The sequence below is a fragment of the Homo sapiens genome, chromosome 3, assembly GCF_000001405.40.
Source record: "Homo sapiens chromosome 3, GRCh38.p14 Primary Assembly".
In the NCBI taxonomy this organism is placed as follows: Eukaryota; Metazoa; Chordata; class Mammalia; order Primates; family Hominidae; genus Homo; species Homo sapiens.
The window spans coordinates 153,375,290-153,394,271 of NC_000003.12; the positions used below are offsets into that span (position 1 = coordinate 153,375,290).

At 37.7% G+C, this 18,982-nt stretch overlaps 2 long non-coding RNA genes across 2 annotated transcripts in view; one reads left to right on the top strand and one right to left on the bottom strand.

Moving 5' to 3' along the window:
• LINC03109 (long intergenic non-protein coding RNA 3109) overlaps positions 1-11,217 on the top strand; it is a 66,028-nt gene extending 54,811 nt beyond the window's left edge. The window contains exons 6-9 of the long non-coding RNA XR_002959654.2: positions 1,479-1,606; positions 1,957-2,261; positions 10,659-10,729; positions 10,958-11,217. This is a non-coding gene — a long non-coding RNA (long intergenic non-protein coding RNA 3109). The remainder of the gene's footprint in view (positions 1-1,478; positions 1,607-1,956; positions 2,262-10,658; positions 10,730-10,957) is intronic.
• Positions 8,261-18,982, bottom strand: part of LINC02006 (long intergenic non-protein coding RNA 2006) — a 378,977-nt gene continuing 368,255 nt past the window's right edge. Inside the window, exons 6-7 of the long non-coding RNA NR_146713.1 lie at positions 10,579-10,727; positions 8,261-10,101 (exon numbers count right to left, since the gene is read on the bottom strand). This is a non-coding gene — a long non-coding RNA (long intergenic non-protein coding RNA 2006). The remainder of the gene's footprint in view (positions 10,102-10,578; positions 10,728-18,982) is intronic.

Here is an 18,982-nt window from a genome sequence, read left to right on the forward strand (position 1 = left end):
CATCCCATATATACATATGTATAACCGGTTTCACTTAATATTAGGTTGTGAGTTTTTCATTATATAAATAATCCATCTTTACAGACCCAACTATTATTAACAGTGTATAATATTCCATTATGTTGACATCCCAAGGTTTATTTAAACTTTTCACTATCCTTGGCTATTTAGATTGTCTCTAATATGTAATTTTTACTAATTATTTATTTTTAAATTTCTAATCTCTCATCTCTGGCTGAAATTTTTACTGTTTAAATGCATAAATAAACAGCTAAATCCTTACTTCATTCCATAGTAGTCATCACTGATATCTACTCAGTTCCTCCAAATTACTACTACTTGTCCTCTGGATTCTTCATTTATAGTGTATATTCCTTTTTAATTCCTCTGCAGCATGGCACAACATGATTTAATTTTTATAAATCTCAGATAATTTTAGTTTCTAAATATCTTTTTTTTTGCTTTAAATAAATAACATTAAGATTCCTTAGAAGTATTGGTCAGAATAAGTGACACAATCATCAGATGTTCTGTTTCAAGTCTCTGGCATGTCCTTTGTTAGAATAATGTTTTCTAAAGTATGCCTTAGAAAAAGTTGATTTAGGTAAGGTTCTTAGGAGACATTAGTATCTAATAGGTGAATTTCTTAGATAGTCTTGAAAAAAAGAGGAAAAACACTCTTTTGGCTAAAAACTCAGAAGATTTAAGAATTGCTCTACCTGGTGCTTTTCCCATTTCTGAATGTGGCTCAAGTGAGGAAATGTTTCTTATTTTTGATGTCAAGAAGAGCACATAAAGAGACATAAGAAACTGAAAGGATGGAATTATTATACCCAAAGTTCTTGGTATATCCGGGGACAACTGTTATTACCAGACTCTGAACTTCTGGGTTAAGATATGTAAACTTCTCTTCCTTAATACCTAACAAAATGAGCAAAATTAATCAGTCAATCCTAACAAAAAAAAACAGGGAAAGGAGCCTAATATAGCAGCATAAGCTTCAATATTCACAACCAAAAAAATAAATGGAAGATTCTGGAGGGGAGTGGAAGGATCTGGAAAGGAAAGGCAACACAAGTGGGGTTCAAACTTCCCCTGAATCCAGAAGTCAATCTGGTGCATCTACTAACTCTGGATAGTCTCATGGTATCTCCAGCTATGCAGAAAAGCAAACTATCATTACCCTCATCTTTTTGTTTTAGATGGAACTGTGGCAGAAATTGCTGCTGAAAATTATAGGAAAAATAGGGAAAATGAAAAATGAGGTTGATGCTGTCAGAAATAAAGTCCATGCAGCTACATTCTGGATTTGGAAAATGGCCCAAAGTAGTATAGTACTCTCTTTTGTCAATCTTCCATCCCTCCGTGGGAATTAGGGCATCCCCAATCAACTTAGAAAACCCTAGCCGAGGACACAGAACCAAATCTTAAAACATGTCAAAACCCAGATACCCTCCCACTTCAGCCTTTTCTTTCAGTTCTTTTTCTCTGGAAATGTCTACTGAATACAGAAATGAACACACTGAAATATTTTCATGCATTGCCTCAGAGGAAGGGTGACCGAAGGAGAGCTCGAGAAACGGAAAGAGAATGAGAACAGAGAGAGGTAAGTGAAGTCACTGCTGCACATTATCATGTAATGTCTCGACACAGCCCTCCAACCATGAAGAAAAGAAATACAACGACATGTCAACTTCATAATCTTGCTATCTGTAAAAAAAGTAAATAAACAAATCATCAATCAATCAAAGGAAAGAAGGATAATACCACATACAAAATATTTACAATGGCAATTTTGTGGTGGTAGAATACAAAGTGGTTTTCAAAATCCTTTTTTTATGTGTGTATGTTTTCTTACATTGTTTGAATGTATTTCAACCCACAAGATATACATCAGAAATACATGGTGTTTTTTTCAATGGAAGCAAATATTTAAAGATGTTAACTTTTTTTCAGATAAAGAAAAGCATACAAAATATTTATTGCTGCATTTCCGTGCCTTCTCCACAATATTGAGGCCTGAATTAGGTAGGTAGTTGAAATCTCTCTAAAAGTGAGTCAGATATTGTGTCCGGAATTGGTGGGTTCTTGATCGCACTGACTTCAAGAATGAAGCCGTGGACCCTCGCGGTGAGTGTTACAGCTCTTAAGGTGGCGCGTCTGGAGTCTGCCCCTTCTGATGTTCAGATGTGTTCGGAGTTTCTTTCTTCTGGTGGGTTCGTGGTCTCTCTGGCTCAGGAGTGAAGCTGCAGATCTTCGCGGTGAGTGTTACAGCTCTTAAGGTAGCGTGTCTGGAGTTGTTCATTTCTCCCTGTGGGCTCGTGGTCTTGCTGGGCTCAGGAGTGAAGCTGTAGATCTTCGCAGTAAGTGTTACAGCTCATAAAAGCAGCATAGACCCAGAGTGAGCAGTAGCAAGATTTATTGCAAAGAGCGAAAGAACAAAGCTTCCACAGTGTGGAAGGGGACCCGAGCGGGTTGCCAATGCTGGCTCGGGCAGCCTGTTTTTATTCTTATCTGGCCCCACCCACATCCTGCTGATTGGTAGAGCCGAGTGGCCTGTTTTGTCAGGGCACTGATTGGTGCCTTTACAATCCCTGAGCTAGATACAAAGGTTCTCCAAGTCCCCATCAGATTAGTTAGATACAGAGTTTCCACACACAGGTTTTCCAAGGCCCCACCAGAGCAGCTAGATACAGAGTGTCGATTGGTGCACTCACAAACCTTGAGCTAAACACAGGGTGCTGATTGGTGTGTTTACAAACCTTGAGCTAGATACAGAGTGCCGATTGGTGTATTTACAATCCCTGAGCTAGACATAAAGGTTCTCCAAGGCCCCACCAGAGCAGCTAGATACAGAGTGTCGATTGGTGCTCTCACAAACCTTGAGCTAAACACAGGGTGCTGATTGGTGTATTTATAATCCCTGAGCTAGACATAAAGACTCTCCACGTCCCCACCAGACTCAGGAGCCCAGCTGGCTTCACCTAGTGGATCCCGCACTGGGGCTGCAGGTGGAGCTGCCTGCCAGTCCTGCGCTGTGCGCTCGCATTCCTCAGCCCTTGGGTGGTAGATAGGACTGGGCACCGTGGAGCAGGGGGTGGTGCTCGTCAGGGAGGCTCGGGCGGCACAGGAGCCCATGGAGTGGGTGGGAGGCTCAGGCATGGCGGGCTGCAGGTCCTGAGCCCTGCCCCGTGGAAAGGCAGCTAAGGCCCGGCGAGAAATTGAGCGCAGCGCCGGTGGGCCAGCACTGCTGGGGGACTCAGTACACCCTCCGCAGCCACTAGCCCGGGTGCTAAGTCCCCCATTGCCCGGGGCCAGCAGGGCTGGCTGGCTGCTCCAAGTGCGGGGCCCACCAAGCCCACGCCCACCCGGAACGCCAGCTGGCCCGCAAGCGCCGCAGGCAGCCCCGGTTCCCGCTCGTGCCTCTCCCTCCACACCTCCCTGCAAGCTGAGGGAGTGGGCTCCAGCCTTGGCCAGCCCAGAAAGGGGCTCCCACAGTGCAGTGGGGGGGCTGAAGGGCTCCTCAAATACCACCAAAGTGGGAGCCCGGGCAGGGGAGGTGCCGAGAGCAAGCGAGGGCTCTGAGGACTGCCAGGATGCTGTCACCTCTCAATATAAGCATCCTACAGTTTCCACACCAGGACAAATAAGCAGGAATCCCTTAACTCTAAGAGCCATGGTGGGGAGGAGGGTCGGTCGGGATACCATGTGTTTTTTCTCTGTTCTAAAAGCCGCATCCACATGAATAGGCTTCTGTTTTAAATGCTGGATATTAATAACATGTTTTAATTAGTTCTACAAGTTAGGAATAGCTGAAAGCTCTATATTTGCATTTAAAAATTTGCACCTAGTTGGCCGGGCACGGTGGCTTAAGCCTGTAATCCCAGCACTTTGGGAGGGCGAGGCGGGCGGATCTTGAGGTCAGGAGATGGAGACCATCCTGGCTAACACAGTGGAACCCCGTCTGTACTAAAAATACAGAAAAAAAAAAATTAGCTGGGCGTGGTGGCGGGTGCCTGCAGTCCCAGCTACTCGGGAGGCTGAGGCAGGAGAATGGCGTGAACCTGGGAGGTGGGGCTTGCAGTGAGCCGAGATCGCGCCACTGCACTCCAGCCTGGGCGACAGAGCAAGACTCCGTCTCAAAAAAAAAAAAAAAAAATTTGCACCTAGTCTTGAACCATTTCTGACTATACTGTCACCACTGTAATCTAAACTGCTTTTCTAAAAGTGATATTCCAGGATCCTCCTATGAGAATACAAAGCACATTTTTCATGCCACACCTTTGTTCTCCTTGTTTCTTTCATCAAGAATGTCCTCACTCTACACTATACTTCACAACTAGTGAAAACCACCATACTTTCCAGGATGAGTCCATGATTCCATTTCCTTCTAGACTACACAAGTACAAAGGAATGTCTCCCTCTCTGAATATTGGAATGATGCATTCCTTATTGTCTGTGGTGGCATTCACAGGCTCTTAGCTGCATTGGTATTTAATTCTGCATTGTGATTGAACATTTACCCACGTTTTCTCTTGGTTTTCTCTACTAGACTGTGTTCTCCCCCAGGGCAAACATTTCCTGCATGTGAAGGAGCCATTCCTGGGCTGGGGCTAATCCCAGCAGAGACTGATCCATTTTAAAGATTTCAGGTCCCTGGAGTTCCAGGTGACTGGCACTGGCTCAGAAAAGAGGAGCAGGTTCACTGGCTGATACTAAAAAGACCTGAGGCTCAAATATATGCATCTAATTGGCCCATAAATCTTAACATCAAGACAAAGCTTTTGTCTCTTATAGACTCAAACCCTCTCTTGGAGCTGAATGTATCCTTTTATAAATTATTTGGTCTAATTTCCACAGTATAAACCTGTAATGTGGTATTTAGTAGCACTGACTTTGGAGTTAGACTCCCTGGGCTTAAATTTCAGTAGTAGCACTTTCTACACAATTTATTTGCCATTTCTGTCTCTTACATGCCTCCTTTGTAGAATAAGGAAAATAATACTTACCCAGTTGATGACTGCTCTACTAAAGGTAGTCATGACAAGCTACGCATTTGCAAAATACAAGGTTACTGACTCAACTGGAGTTAAAGAAGCTCTAAAGAAAAAAGACCGATGCTCAAATTATTATTATTAGTATTGATTATTGAGTTAATATTAACTTTAAAGTACTTAGCACATTATGAATGCAGTGTTAAATATTATTTTTATTACTATTAATATTGCTGTTTCCCCAGTGCTAGGAAGTACTAGAGATGGGGAGAGATATTAATGGCTGATTTGTGCAGGACCTGCACCACCTTATTGCCAAGTCTGGATTCCAGAGCCCCACAGGACCCTTTGTGTCCACAGTGCTGACACAGTATTATGCAGAAAGTAGGAATAAAATGCACTTATTGCTTAAATTTATTATGGCCCAAAGCAATAAATACCAAGTATATTACATAGGTTTGGAACACTAAGAGCCCACCTATACATACATACACCCACCCACCCACAAACACTTTGGACTTCATCAAGATCTGGAGATAAACTTTCCTACAGAGCTTACATTAATTAGATTTTCATAGACATCTTGCCATGAGAAGAAAATAAAAATTATCGACAGACTTGCCTTATCAAAACTCACGAATTTCTGCAAGCACATATTTTCACAGTTGATGAAAGCATTTGACCGAATAGCTTGACTTTTTGACTTATATGAAACAGCTTGTTAAATGTTTAGGTATTAAAAGCATGTAATTCTTATAGTTTATTGAGTATTTTTCTCCTGCAGCTTTGAAGTGGTACACTGAGGAATTGACAAAACCTGTGTTCAGACTCAAGTCTCATGACCTGAATTCCAATGTTCTCTCCTTAAAGTGATCTGAGTTTTGTGTGGAGAAATTAATATACCAGAAAATACTTGTATTCCAGCATAACACCTATTGTACTAGATGAGTGCATGACAGATTACGAAAGTGCAGAATCAAGGACTGTGCTGGGGTGTGGGAACAAATGCGGTGGATCTTGTTTTGCTCACAGAAAAGTTGATGCTAACATTGTCCTTAGTGATTAGGGGGAGTCTGATGGGTAGATATTGGCAGGTGGGATGAGGGTGGGATGGTCAGAAGGACATTTTAGGCAAAGGAATAGAACGTTCCAAGGCTTGGAAGCATGAAAAAACAAGGCATAATGAAGGAAAGCAGGCCAGAGAGTATTTTATACGTGGAGGGAACATTTTGGTGATTAAATTTCAAAGGATGGCATCACCGTGACCAGACCATAATAGACCCCATATAACATTTTAAGGAGTTTGATTTTTGTCCTGTAGAGCAAAGTGAAAGATGTTTAGGAAAAAAAAAAAAAAAACTAACTTGATTAGCTCGTGCTGTAGAAAGAGTATTCTGCCTGCAGTGAATGAATTCTGGAAGGCAGTCGTGAAGTCTAGCCTGTACATCAAGAGCTATTCAAATAATTCGGGAAAGTGATGATGGGTGTGTGAATTAGGGCAGGAGAAAAGGGGCTGGAGAGGAGTGGCAAATTTGTCAGGGCATTGGGACATAACACTCATGGTACTTCAAAACCGGTGATTGAGCTGTGAGGTGGAGGCCATAGGCCCACTCCGCACTCAGGTGCATGTCTTGGAGGAGGAATAGATTTTGAAGTAAGTTGCTGAGTTTAAGAGTAAAACATATTTGGTTCAAGATGCATATCCAGGTAGAACTCTTAAGTAAGGCATTAGATACTTTCATCAAAAATTGGGGTGAAAAGTCTGGGTATGAAATAATGATTTGGAAGTATCTGTGGAGGATATAGATTTTTTAGGTGAACAGGTTGTGGTTAAAATCATTAGAATGAGTAGATTGTTAAGGGGGGTGTGGGGTGTAAAAGCAAGAAGACAGTCCATGATGATGAACTTTGGAAAATACTAATACTGAATGATGGGGAAGAGGAAGAAGATGCAGGAATAGGATATTTTATATTACCAAAATAAATCATCATCAAGAAGTAACTTTATAATACCTTAGGCTGGAAGTTTACATAATTTGATGCTGAATATAAATAAAGTACTGTAATAATCTGTGTGCAGTCTTAATGACATACTGGATACATATTATGAAATACCAATTATTTAAAGCAGCTTTTGAAAGCAGGCCCCTTTCTAGCAGTTCACAATACCATAATAAAATACATTTCAGGAATCATCTTCTATAAACAGTATCCCTGGTAATCATTAAGATGTCATCTTGATTATGCTAAGGCCAAAACCAATGTTAGGGCTTAATATAGTTTGCATTTCTGTTTCTTCTCATCTTATGTAACCTGTATTTTTGACAGCCATTTATCTTACATTATAATAGTATAATGTACCATGACAATGTATGTGTCATGACAATATTGCACTCAGTGAAAAGGCTGTTGCATCTATGGACTTGAAAACATAAATCATGAAAGCTTTGTTGCAAAAATTTATTATTTAATCAGTTTGGAAGTTGAGTGATGTTTTAATTGCCTCTTTGTTTACCATTCTGGTCATGATTTACACTTTACTGCTATCCAGAGTCCGTATTAACTAGTAAAAACAGAATATATTTGAGAGTTCACTCTTAAATCTAAGATCAAATGATTTTTCAGATTATTTTTTTAAAAACAATTCTACAGGCCATGCCCACAATTTATATAATTGCTTAGGTGCATGTCAGTGTAAAACAACAGTGCTACATTTAAAACATGTTGTTTAGAAAGAATTTGCTCATTAAAAGGTCACAGAACCTCATCAAGCTTCTCATAAAACTATATGGCTTAAAATTTAACCTAGCAGTTTCATGGTCTGAAATCGTGCATCGTTTTTGACATGTTTCTCGAAAAGATAAAAAGAAAACTTGCAGAAAATTTCATTTGGGTAGGATATCAAGTAATAAGATTCAATCAAAGGTATTTGAAATTTCTTCAAGTCAAGATAAAATTAAAGATAAAACTGCTCCAAAAGCTATTTTAAGTAAAAGATAAACTTTTATGCTAGCACTGGTAGTTGGTTAATTTAAACTGCCTAAGTGATGACCAAGAAAAAGAGAGAGAGAAAAAAGATGCCTCATACAGATCTAGAAAGCAATAAACTCATTAAAAGTTGCTTACAAAACCTTCATAGATTTTTTCAAGCTTTAATAAAATTCCAAGGCATTACTCGAATAGGCCAGATGATTGAAAAGATTATTTAGATAGAACTATCTCATGACTTACAACATAACACACATGATATATATTATTTTATTCTGTTAGAAAGTCAAGACATAAAATGATTGGCAGGAGTTCCTTATCAGAACAGAATCTCTTAGAACTAGAAATGAATGCCTTTTTCCGCACACGAACTCTTTGGCTGCATAAAAGAAGTATCCATGGAAACCCTTACCTGTTAGTTCTAATATGCATATACAAGGTTATTTTCTTTTCCATTTTATTTCAACAAAAACGTGAATGGAATAGAAAGCACTGAACTACTAGAAGCTTCCAAGGCCTTACATAACAGTTTTTGACAAAAAGCTCATTATATTTTTATAGTTTCTATTTGGCACAAGACCAAATGACTTTACAGAGTATGTTAATCAATAGATGTAACAAGGATTATTAAATGTCCTATTATGCTTATGGATACAAATTTATGTTATTATTCAGCTTAGGAGCCACAGTTGGTGCACATTCAATTTAAATGATATTTTATCATTTTTCAGTCAAATAAAATATACGTAGTGAAAAAAAAATACCTCCTAAAGCTTCCTAAAAGCTAGTTTGCATCTGGATAAGGTGTGGAATTGAAGGCAGAAGCTAGAGAGAGTTGATGATTGCAGAAAAGCCAAGACCGTGGCATTTATTCAAAACAGTTTTTAATTGGAAAGTTCATGGAATGAAAGAACTATGGAAACAAATGAAGTGCACCCAGATGCGAACAAGAAAAGTATATTAATAAGGATATTTATTCAGAGCTAGCATAGTAAAGAAGTTAACCGCCATTATTTGTGTTTGTCGGAGACTCAAAGGCAGGCAGAGGAGTAGGAAAGCTTTAGAATGGGAAAAAGGGAAGGCTTCAGGTCTGCCTGATTGGAGGCTATTGGTCCGGGGAAGTCGGAAGCCCGATAATTGAAAGAAAAGCATCCTATGCGGGTGGTTAGGCAGCATATTTGTCTTTCTCCAGTTGGTCCCAAGCTGGAAGTGGGGGAAGGGGGCTAAAAATTATGAAAGTTGTCCGTTATTGATCAGGTCCTGACCATTTTGGGCTAATTGCCATGGAGGCTGTGGTCTTGCTCTGGTTATTGCAATTTGTGGCTTAGAATTCTGTTTCAATGTATGGTGTGACTGTATATTCAGTCTCTCAGAACTAAAGGCTAGTGATGTCATCAATTAACTAAAAAAGCTGAGCTCTGAGGCAGACATTAAAGAAAAGTAAGGAAAGTGGACTGGGTATTTAAAAAATGAGTAATAAGAGAATGGCAGCAGCAAGAGAAAATTTTTAAAAATAGAAATAAATGTGTGAACCACAGTTTGGGAATAAGGGTGGAGATGGGGCAGAAAAAACAGAAGCAAGCAGGCTAACAGTCTTTTTGTATCTCTCTTCTGAAAGGTGAGATATCAAGAAATAAGATTCAATCAAAGACACTTGAAATTCCCATATGCGACACCGAATTTATCACAGCAGGCTCATACATTTTTCATTGAGTTAAGAAATATTCAATTAAATGGAAATATCAAACACATAGGATAGTCAATTTAATGAAATATGAAAGCCCTTTGATATTTCAGTTGATATCTCTTAACATTGTGAGCCAGTATTTGTGTAGCAGGGCTCTTCTTTCAAAACTAGATTAAATTATATGTTTCTCAGGTTGGTCCTGGAGATCAAAATGTCTTTATTCAAGGGCATGCAGGCAAAAGAACAAGCATATCTATCATGGAACATTCAATAGTCCTTTACTGTCTTATGCATCAGATCTTCTGTCCAAACTTCCCACGGATTGCTCCAGTCCTGCAGATCTGGATCATTCTCTGTTCCCAAGCCCATCTGTGTTCTGTTGGCAGCTGAGAGATTGCATACTGTAATCTCTCTCTCTCTGATGTATGTCTTCTAAGAAATCCAAATATAAAGAGTAACACAAGTTTATTAATTTTACTTTTACTTATGAAAAGTTGCAATGTTACAAGTGATTCTGCAGTTGTGGGAAATTAAACATGCACAAGAGGGGCCTCAAATCAAAGGCCAGGATGTGGTCCCTAGTTCTTAGCTCCAGTGTGACTCCAACAACCTCCAGTAGAGATAAAGGCAGCATCTCACCATAATTATTCAGTTCTACTGTCCACCAAGAGGAGAATAAAATAATTTTTTTCATTGTTTTTTTCATTTTAAAAGCATTCTTTCACTTTTTAAAGCACTTTTGAGGTAATCCTGGATCTGCTTTATAAATATTATGAATCATATAGGCAGTAAAACAATGAAGAGGGGGAATTAGCAATAAGATTATGCTATTTGTTTAATTTCATAATGTAATGTTTTTCCCCTTAATTTACTTAATATTGGTAATTAGTAATGTTGTTTTTAACTTACCTCATAAAATATGGTCTTGGATTTCAGGACAATCCTTGGTATGAGGGAATATTTTTCATTTGTGTCCTCTTCCTTTGTAGGGGTACTCAGGACTTTGAATGCATAGGCTCAGTTCTGCTGTGCACTTTCTACACAAATCCTGACCAAGCCTGTGAGTATGGGCAAATATTTATTCAGACCAATAGGTAGACTTTGGCATTGACCTGGCATCAAGACCGCCCAAAGTAGTTGCTGTTCTATATATTCACCAACCACCTGTCTTCACCCCAAACTTTACCTTATGAATAGATTTCTATTGATTTCTTTTTTTTTTTTTGTCATATATGCTAAACCCCAACAATTTTAACTCAGCTTCTCTTTGTTATGTACTTTATTGCAGGAGATAGGGGAAGACTCTGTTGTTCAAACCTGTAGCCACTGGATCACATCATGTTCAGACAGAGCTCACTGAAATCATAGCACAGGCCCTTCCTTGAGAAAGGGCTACTGATCTACCTCTCCGAGCAACTGCTTGTAAAGACAAACTGAATTGAATGGGCAAGTGATTTTCAAACCAGTTACGGATATTACATAACAGCTTCTCATGCACATGGGAGACAGAGTCTCACTCTGTCACCAGGCTGGAGTATAGTGGCATGATCTCGGCTCACAGCAACCTCTGACTATCTGGTTCAAGAAATTCTCCTGCCTCAGCCTCCTGAGTAGCTGGGATTACAGGCACCCACCACCACGCCCAGCTAATTTTTGTATTTTTAGTAGAGGCGGGGTTTCACCATGTTGGCCAGGATGGTCTGGATCTCCTGCCCTCGTGATCCGCCAACCTCGGCCTCCCAAAGTGCTGGAATTACAGGCATGAGCCACCGTGCCTGGCCAACATTTTTGCTTTTTGAAAGACACTGATGGAAATGAAAAAAAATCTACGGATTAAGAGAAAATAATTGCAAATTATATATTTGATAAAAGATTCATGTTCAGAATACTTAAAACACTGTCAAAATTCACTGCTAAGAAACGAGGCAACCCCATAACAATTTGGGCAAACAATTTGAACATATATTTCCAAAAATAAAAGATATGCATAATATATTAAAACATAAAAATGTGTTCAAATTGTTTTCATCAAAGAAATGTAAAATTGAAACCACAATGATATACCACTGGACATCACAGTAGTGCTTAAAGTGAAAAAGGCTTATCATAATAAGTGTTAACAAGGATGTGGAGAGACTGAAACTTTTACAATTCTGACAGGTAATGTAAAATGGTAGAACCACTTTCAGCAACGGTTTGTTGGTATCTTAAAAAGTTAAACATGTAGCTATTATATGTTCTAGCCACTCCACTCCTATACATTTACCTAAGATAAATGAAAATATATGTCTATTCAAACACTTGTACGTACATATTCATATCAACTTTATTTGGAAACAACTCCAATTTTTATCACCAGTAAATGGACAGAAAATTCTGGGATATCCATGTAATATTTTTTATTCAACAATAATAACTAATGAGTTGGCCAGCATGGTGTCTCATGTCTGTAATCCCAGCATTTTGGGAGGCCGAGGCAGGCGGATCACTTAAGGTCAGGAGTTCGAGACTAGCCTGGCCAAAATGGTGAAACCCCGTCTCTACCAAAAATAAAAAAAATTAGCCAGGTGTGGTGGCGCATGCTTGTAATCCTGGCTACTTGGGAGGCTGAGGCAGGAGAATCACTTGAACCCGGGAGGTGGTGGTTGCAGTGAGCCGAGATCGTGCCACTGCACTCCAGCCTGGGTGACAGAGTGAGACTCTGTCTCAAAACAAACAAAAACCAAAAAAAAACTTATTAGTTATTGATACCCATACAACATAGATGAGTTTCAAAAATAACTAAGCAGTGTAAAGTAAGTCAGACAATAAAAAGAGAACATATAGTTTGATTTCATTCATATAAAATTCTAGAAAATGCAAACTAACCTATAGTGACAAAAAGAACACCAGTGGTGAGAGCTGATGAAGGGAGAGATGAGAAAGAGAGATTATAAAGGGTCATGAGGTAAGTTTGGATGTGATGGATATGCTTATTTCCTGCTCATAGTTTTCTGGGTGTATATATCTGTCCAAATTTATTAAATTGTACATTTTAAAGATATGCAGTTTATTTTATGTCAATTGTACCTCAATATAGTTGTAAGGGAAAACAGCAACGTGGTGGTCTTTGAATTCCTCACCTTTAAAATAAGGAAGTCGAACTATAATTATCTCTGAGGACTGAAATTCTGTGATTCTGTAAGCAAGAAGGCTAAAGATGAGGCCCAAAAGGTAGGAGATTGTACATACAGTGTTGTTAATGTCTTGCTGAAACTGCAGAATAAGAGCATGTATTACTAGGTAATGAGAGTATTTCCCCTAAAACAAAATGGATTCTAGTTTGTGGCTCTTTGGCCTAGGGGTGGGGAAAATCTTCCTCCTTTTAGTCCTAATGGTGATGGCCAGTCATTCTTAGCTACGTGGAGATAGGCTGGAAGGGAACAGCAAAACAGACCTACAAGTTCTCAGTGACAATGACATTGACTATAGCTGCTACAATCAATGTCATTGTCACTGAGAACTTGTGTGGAGATATGTCAAGATCCTGAGATGTGTGACAATCAGGGCAGTGGTGAGGAATATCCTAAGTTCCAGGGGTCATGTATGAGTTTTGGATTTTATACCAAGGTCGTAGAATTTCTAGAGAAATCCTTTTGAATAGAGAGGAGGTAAATGGATCTCTTGAGTCTCAATCACCAAAGGAAGTGGCACGGCAGCAATTCAAGAAGGCCAGCATGGACCTGGCAGACTACGTCCTGAGCACATGTGAGAAAGTACTTCTTGAATCAGTGGATCAGCAGAAAAGAAGAATTTGGAAATATACCTACATTGACAGCATTTCTTTATGTATCGCAGATAAAGCATATAGTTTAATAGGTTAGGGCCAATAATGCAATGGTTAGAAGAGTAGACATGAATTCCCAGTGCCTTTCTTAACCTTCTTCAGCATACATGCATTATAAAATAATGCAGGGATTTAAAAATCATGTTATACTCCTGACCCACATACCACTATAACCCATAATTATACTGTTTCTGCTCACTTAGCAACTAGCCTATATCTTATATATAGTTCATAGTGCAAGACAGCTTTCAGTGGAAGATCTTCAGAAATATGATTAAATACCATCTTGATATTTGGGAAATTAACATCAGATTATTGTCTTGAAATATCACCTAAGAATTATTTCATGTCTTGTGTACTTTGAACCATACGAAACTGCTGTTTTAATAGATCAAATATGGTTTAAAATTAGAAATTTCATGATTCAAAATCAAAAGGGAAAGAAGGAAGGAGGAAAGGAAAAAGAAAAGTCAGAATGACAAAGAGAAGGAAAGAGCCATAGATGTTATTTCAAGCCATCAATGTGCATTAAAGAGATATTTCTCAAATGTAGACTATTAATATGAACTGCAAATACAATAACTTCAGATACATGATTTACAACTGATTAAACTTGTTTCAAGTTATTTTATATTAGTTACCACTATTGTTGGACTTGCTTCCACAGATCACATATTTTGGCAGAGATATCAGTTGCTTTTATTTTATTCCTTTTTTCTTCTCCTAGAGCCTTCAGATGAGATATATTATTACTTATGGAGAAGAGAAATAAAATAGACATTTTTCTTTGACATTTTCTATGAAACTGTAAATTGGATTATACTACAGCTATTTCAAGAGGTCACTTTACATGGTTTTTGAAGACAGGAAAAGTGATTAATGTTAAGAAGGTCTTGACATAGGAATTTAGTGTCCTTGAGCTCTGTATAATTACCTTTTCTAAAGCTGCTAACACACTGCAAGCGATCAATGACTCAATAATGTAAATTTATAAAACACATTGTACACACATACACACACATACACACGTATGTGACCTTCCAGAAGTTGTTCATGTGTTAGAAATTAACATTTTTTGAAGTCTGTAGGTTACCATGGAAATCTGCTGTTGATGCTCACTCCATTAACACATTCGTTCCGAGAAAGAAACTAAGTTCTGGTTCCTTTACCAGTGGTGTTAATAATACTGTTGTGCTATCAAATACTACATCTTATTTATTCTATCTAACTGTATTTTTGTATTCATTAACCATCCCCTTTTCCCCCTACACCCACTACACTTCCCAGCCTCTGGTAACCATCATTCTACTCTGTATCTTCATGAGTTTAATTATTTTGATTTTTAGTTTCCAAAAATAAATGAGAACATGCAACATTTGTCTTTCTGTTCCTGGCATATTACACTTAATATAATATCCTCCAGCTCCATCCATGTTGTTGCAGATGACAAGATCTCATTCTTTTATGGCTGAATGGTGTGCCATTGTAGATGCATACTGCATTTCCTTTATGTATTCATCTGTTGATGGATACTCAGGCTGATTCCAAATCTTGGCTACTGCGAATAGTGCTGCAATAAAAATGGCAGTACACATATCTCTTTGATACACTGATTTACTTCTTTTGGGTATATATCCTAGTAGTGGGGTTGCTGGATCATGTGGTGGCTCTATTTTTAGTTTTTTGAGGAATCTCCATACTGTTCTCCATGGTGACTGTACTAATTTACATTCCCACCAACAGTGTGCAAGGGTAACATTTTCTCCACATCCTCACCAAAATTCATAATTGCCAGTCCTTTGTATAATATAAAAGCCATTTTAACTGGTATGAGATGATATCTAATTGTAGTTTTGATTTGCATTTTCCTGATGTTCAGTGCCATTGAGCACCATTTCATATACCTGTTTGCCATTTGTATGTCTTCTTTTGAGAAATGTCTACTTAGATGTTTTGCCCCTTTTAAAAATTGGATTCCTAGATTTTTTCCTATTGAGCTGTTTGAGCTGCCTATATATTCTGGTTATTAATCCCTTGTCAGATGTATAGTTGGAAAATATTTTCTTTCATTTTGTGAGTTGTCTCTTCACTTTGTTGATTGTTTTGTTTGCTGTGCAGAAGCTTTTAAACTTGATGTGATCACATTTATCCATTTTTGCTTTGGTTACCTGTGCCTGTGGGGTTTACTCAAGAAATCTTTGCCCAGATCAACGTCCTGGAAAGTTTCCCCAATGTTTTCTTTTAGTAGTTTTATAGTTTGAGGTCTTAGATTTAAGTTTTTGATTCATTTTGATTTGATTTTTGTATATGGTAAGAGATAGGGGTCTAGTTTCATTTTTCTGCATATGGATATCCACTTTTCTCAGCACCATTTATTGAAGAGACTATCCTTTCTTCAATGTATTTTCTGGGCACTTTTGTTGAAAATGATTTCACTGTGGATGTATGGATTTATTTCTGGGGCTTCTATTCTGTTCCATTAATCTATGTGTCTATTTTTATGCCAGTACCATACTGTTCTGGTTAGTATAGATCTGTAATATAATTTGAAGTAAGGGGAAGTGATTCCTCCAGTTTTGTTCTTTTTATATCAGGATGGCTTTCTGGGTCTTTTGTTGTTCCATAAAAATTTTAGTTTTTTTTTTTCTATTTCTGTGAAGAATGTCATTGGTTATTTTTATAGAGATTGCACTGAATCTGTAGTTTCTTTTGGTGTGTGGACATTTTAACAATATTGATTCTTCCAATTCATGAACATAGAGTATCTTTCCATTTTTGCGTCCTTCTCAATTTCTTGCATCAGTGTTTTATAGCTTTCATTACAAAGGTCTTCCACTTCTTTGGTTAAGTTAATTCCTAGGTATTTTATTTGTAGCTATTGTAAATGAGATTACTTTTTCAAGTTGTTTACCATTGGCATATAGAAAAGCTACTGATTTTTGTACATTGATTTTTGTATCCTGCAACTTTCCTGAATTTGTTTATCAGTTCTAATAGTTTTTGGTGGAGTCTTAGGTTTTTCCAAATATAAGACCATATCATCTGCAAGGGCAATTTGACTTTTTCCTTTCCAATTTGGATGCCCTTTATTTCTTTCTCATGTCTGATTGCTTTAGTTGGGAATTGCAGTACTATGTTGAATAACAGTGGTGAAAGTAGGCATCCTTGTCGGACGCGGTGGCTCATGCCTGTAATCCCAGCACTTTGGGAGGCCAAGGCAGGCGGATCATGAGGTCAGGAGATCGAGACCATCCTGGCTAACACGGTGAAACCCCATCTCTACTAAAAATACAAAAAATTAGCCGGGCGAGGTGGCAGGTGCCTGTAGTCCCAGCTACTCGGGAGGCTGAGGCAGAAGAATGATGTGAACCCGGGAAGCAGAGCTTGCAGTGAGCCAAGATAGCGCCACTGCACTCCAGCCTGGGTGACAGAGCGAGACTCTATCTCAAAAAAAAAAAAAAAAAAAAAAAAAAAGTGGGCATCCTTATCTTGTTTCAGATCTGAGAAGAAAGGCTTTCAATTTTTCCCTGTTCAGTATGATACCACCTGTGGGTCTGTCACACATGGCTTTCATTATATGTGTCAGTCGGTTTTATGTGTCTAGAAATTTATTCATTTATCATTGTATTGAGGTATGTTCCTCATATACCTAGTTTTTTTAGGAGTTTTATTATGAAGGGATGTTAAATGTTATCACATGCTTTTTTCAGCATAAATCGAAAAGATCATATGGTTTTTGCCCTTCATTTTGTTGATGTGATGTGTCACATTGATTGATTTGCATATGTTGAACCATCCTTGCATCCCTGGAATAGATCCCACTTGGTCATGAAGAATGGTCTTTTTAATGTATTGTTGAATTCAGTTTGCTAGTATTTTGTTGAGGATTTTTGTATCAATGTTCTTCAGGGATATTGACCTGTATTTACTCTCTCTGTCTCTTTTTAAAAATGTATCTGTGTCTAGGGTAATACCAGCCTTGTGATATGAGTTTGGAAGTGTTCCCTCTTTCTTTATTTGTTGAAATAATTTGAATAGAATTGGTGTTATTTCTTCTTTAAATGTTTGGTAAAATTCAGCAGTGAAACAATTGCATCCTGGGCTTTTCTTTGCTGGGAGACATTTTATAACAGCTTTAATGTAATTACTTGTTATTTTTCTATTCAGATTTTGGATTTCTTCATGGTTCAATCTCAGTAGATTTTATATATCTGGAAATTTCTCTGTTTATTCTAGGTTTTCCATTTTATTGGCATATAACTGCTCATAGTAGTCTCTAATGATCCTCTGAATTTTTGCCATATCAGTTGTAATATCTCTTTTTTCATCTCTATTTTTATTTATTTAGGTCTTCTTTTTTTCTTAATCTGGCTAATGGTTTGTTGATTTGTTTTTATCTTTTCAAAAACCCACTGTTCATTTTTAAAATCTTTTGTATTGTTTTTTCTTTTCATTTTCATTTATTTCTGCTCCTATCTTTATTATTTCTTCCACTAATTTTGGGTTTTGTTTGCTCTTACTCTTTCGGTTTCTAAAGATGCATCTTTAGGTTGTGTATTTGAAGTTTCTTTCTTTCTTTCTTTCTTTCTTTCAGCCTTCCACTTAGTACTTCTTTTGCTGTATCCCATAAGTTTTAATATGGTGTGTTTCCCTTCTCATTTGTTTTGAAAAATTTTTAAATTTCCTTTTGAATTTCCTTATTGACCTATTGGTCATTCAGGAACATATTGTTTAACTTCCATGTGTTTGTATAGTTTCCAAAATTCCTCTTGTTATTGATTTTTAGTTTTTTTCATTGTGATTAGAGAAGATACTTGATATGATTTCAATTTTTTAAAAAAAATTTAAGACTTGTTTATGGCTTAAGATATGGTCTGTCTTTGAGAATGCTAAGGAGAAGAGTGTGTTTTCTGCAGCTGTTGGATGAAATGTTCTGTAAATATCTATTAGGTCCATTTGGTTAAGAGTACAGATTAAGTCTAATGTTTCTTTATTGATTTTCTGTCTGGATGATTGGTCCAATGCTGAAAGTGGGGTGCTGCAGTCTCCAGCTATTATTATTTTTGGGTCTATCCCTCTCTTTGGCTATAATAGTATTTGTTTTATATATCTGGGTGCCTAGTGTTTGGTGTATATGTATTTTCAGCTGTTACATCCTCTTGCTGAATTGGCCCCTTTATCATATAATGACCTTCTTTGTGTTTTTTAAATAGTTTTTGTCTTGAAACCTCCCTTGTTGGATATAAGTATAGCTACTCCTGCTTTTTTTAATTTTATTTGCGTGAAATATCTTTTTTCATCCCTTTATTTTCAGTGTTTATTTGAGTCTTATAGGTAAAGTGTGTTTTATTTGTGTCTTATAGGTTAAGTGTGTTTCTTGTAGGCAACAGATCATTAGGTCTTGCTTTTTAATCCAGTCAGCCAATCTATGCCTTTTGATTGAGAAGTTTAGTCTATTTACATTTAATGTTTTTATTCATAAGCAAA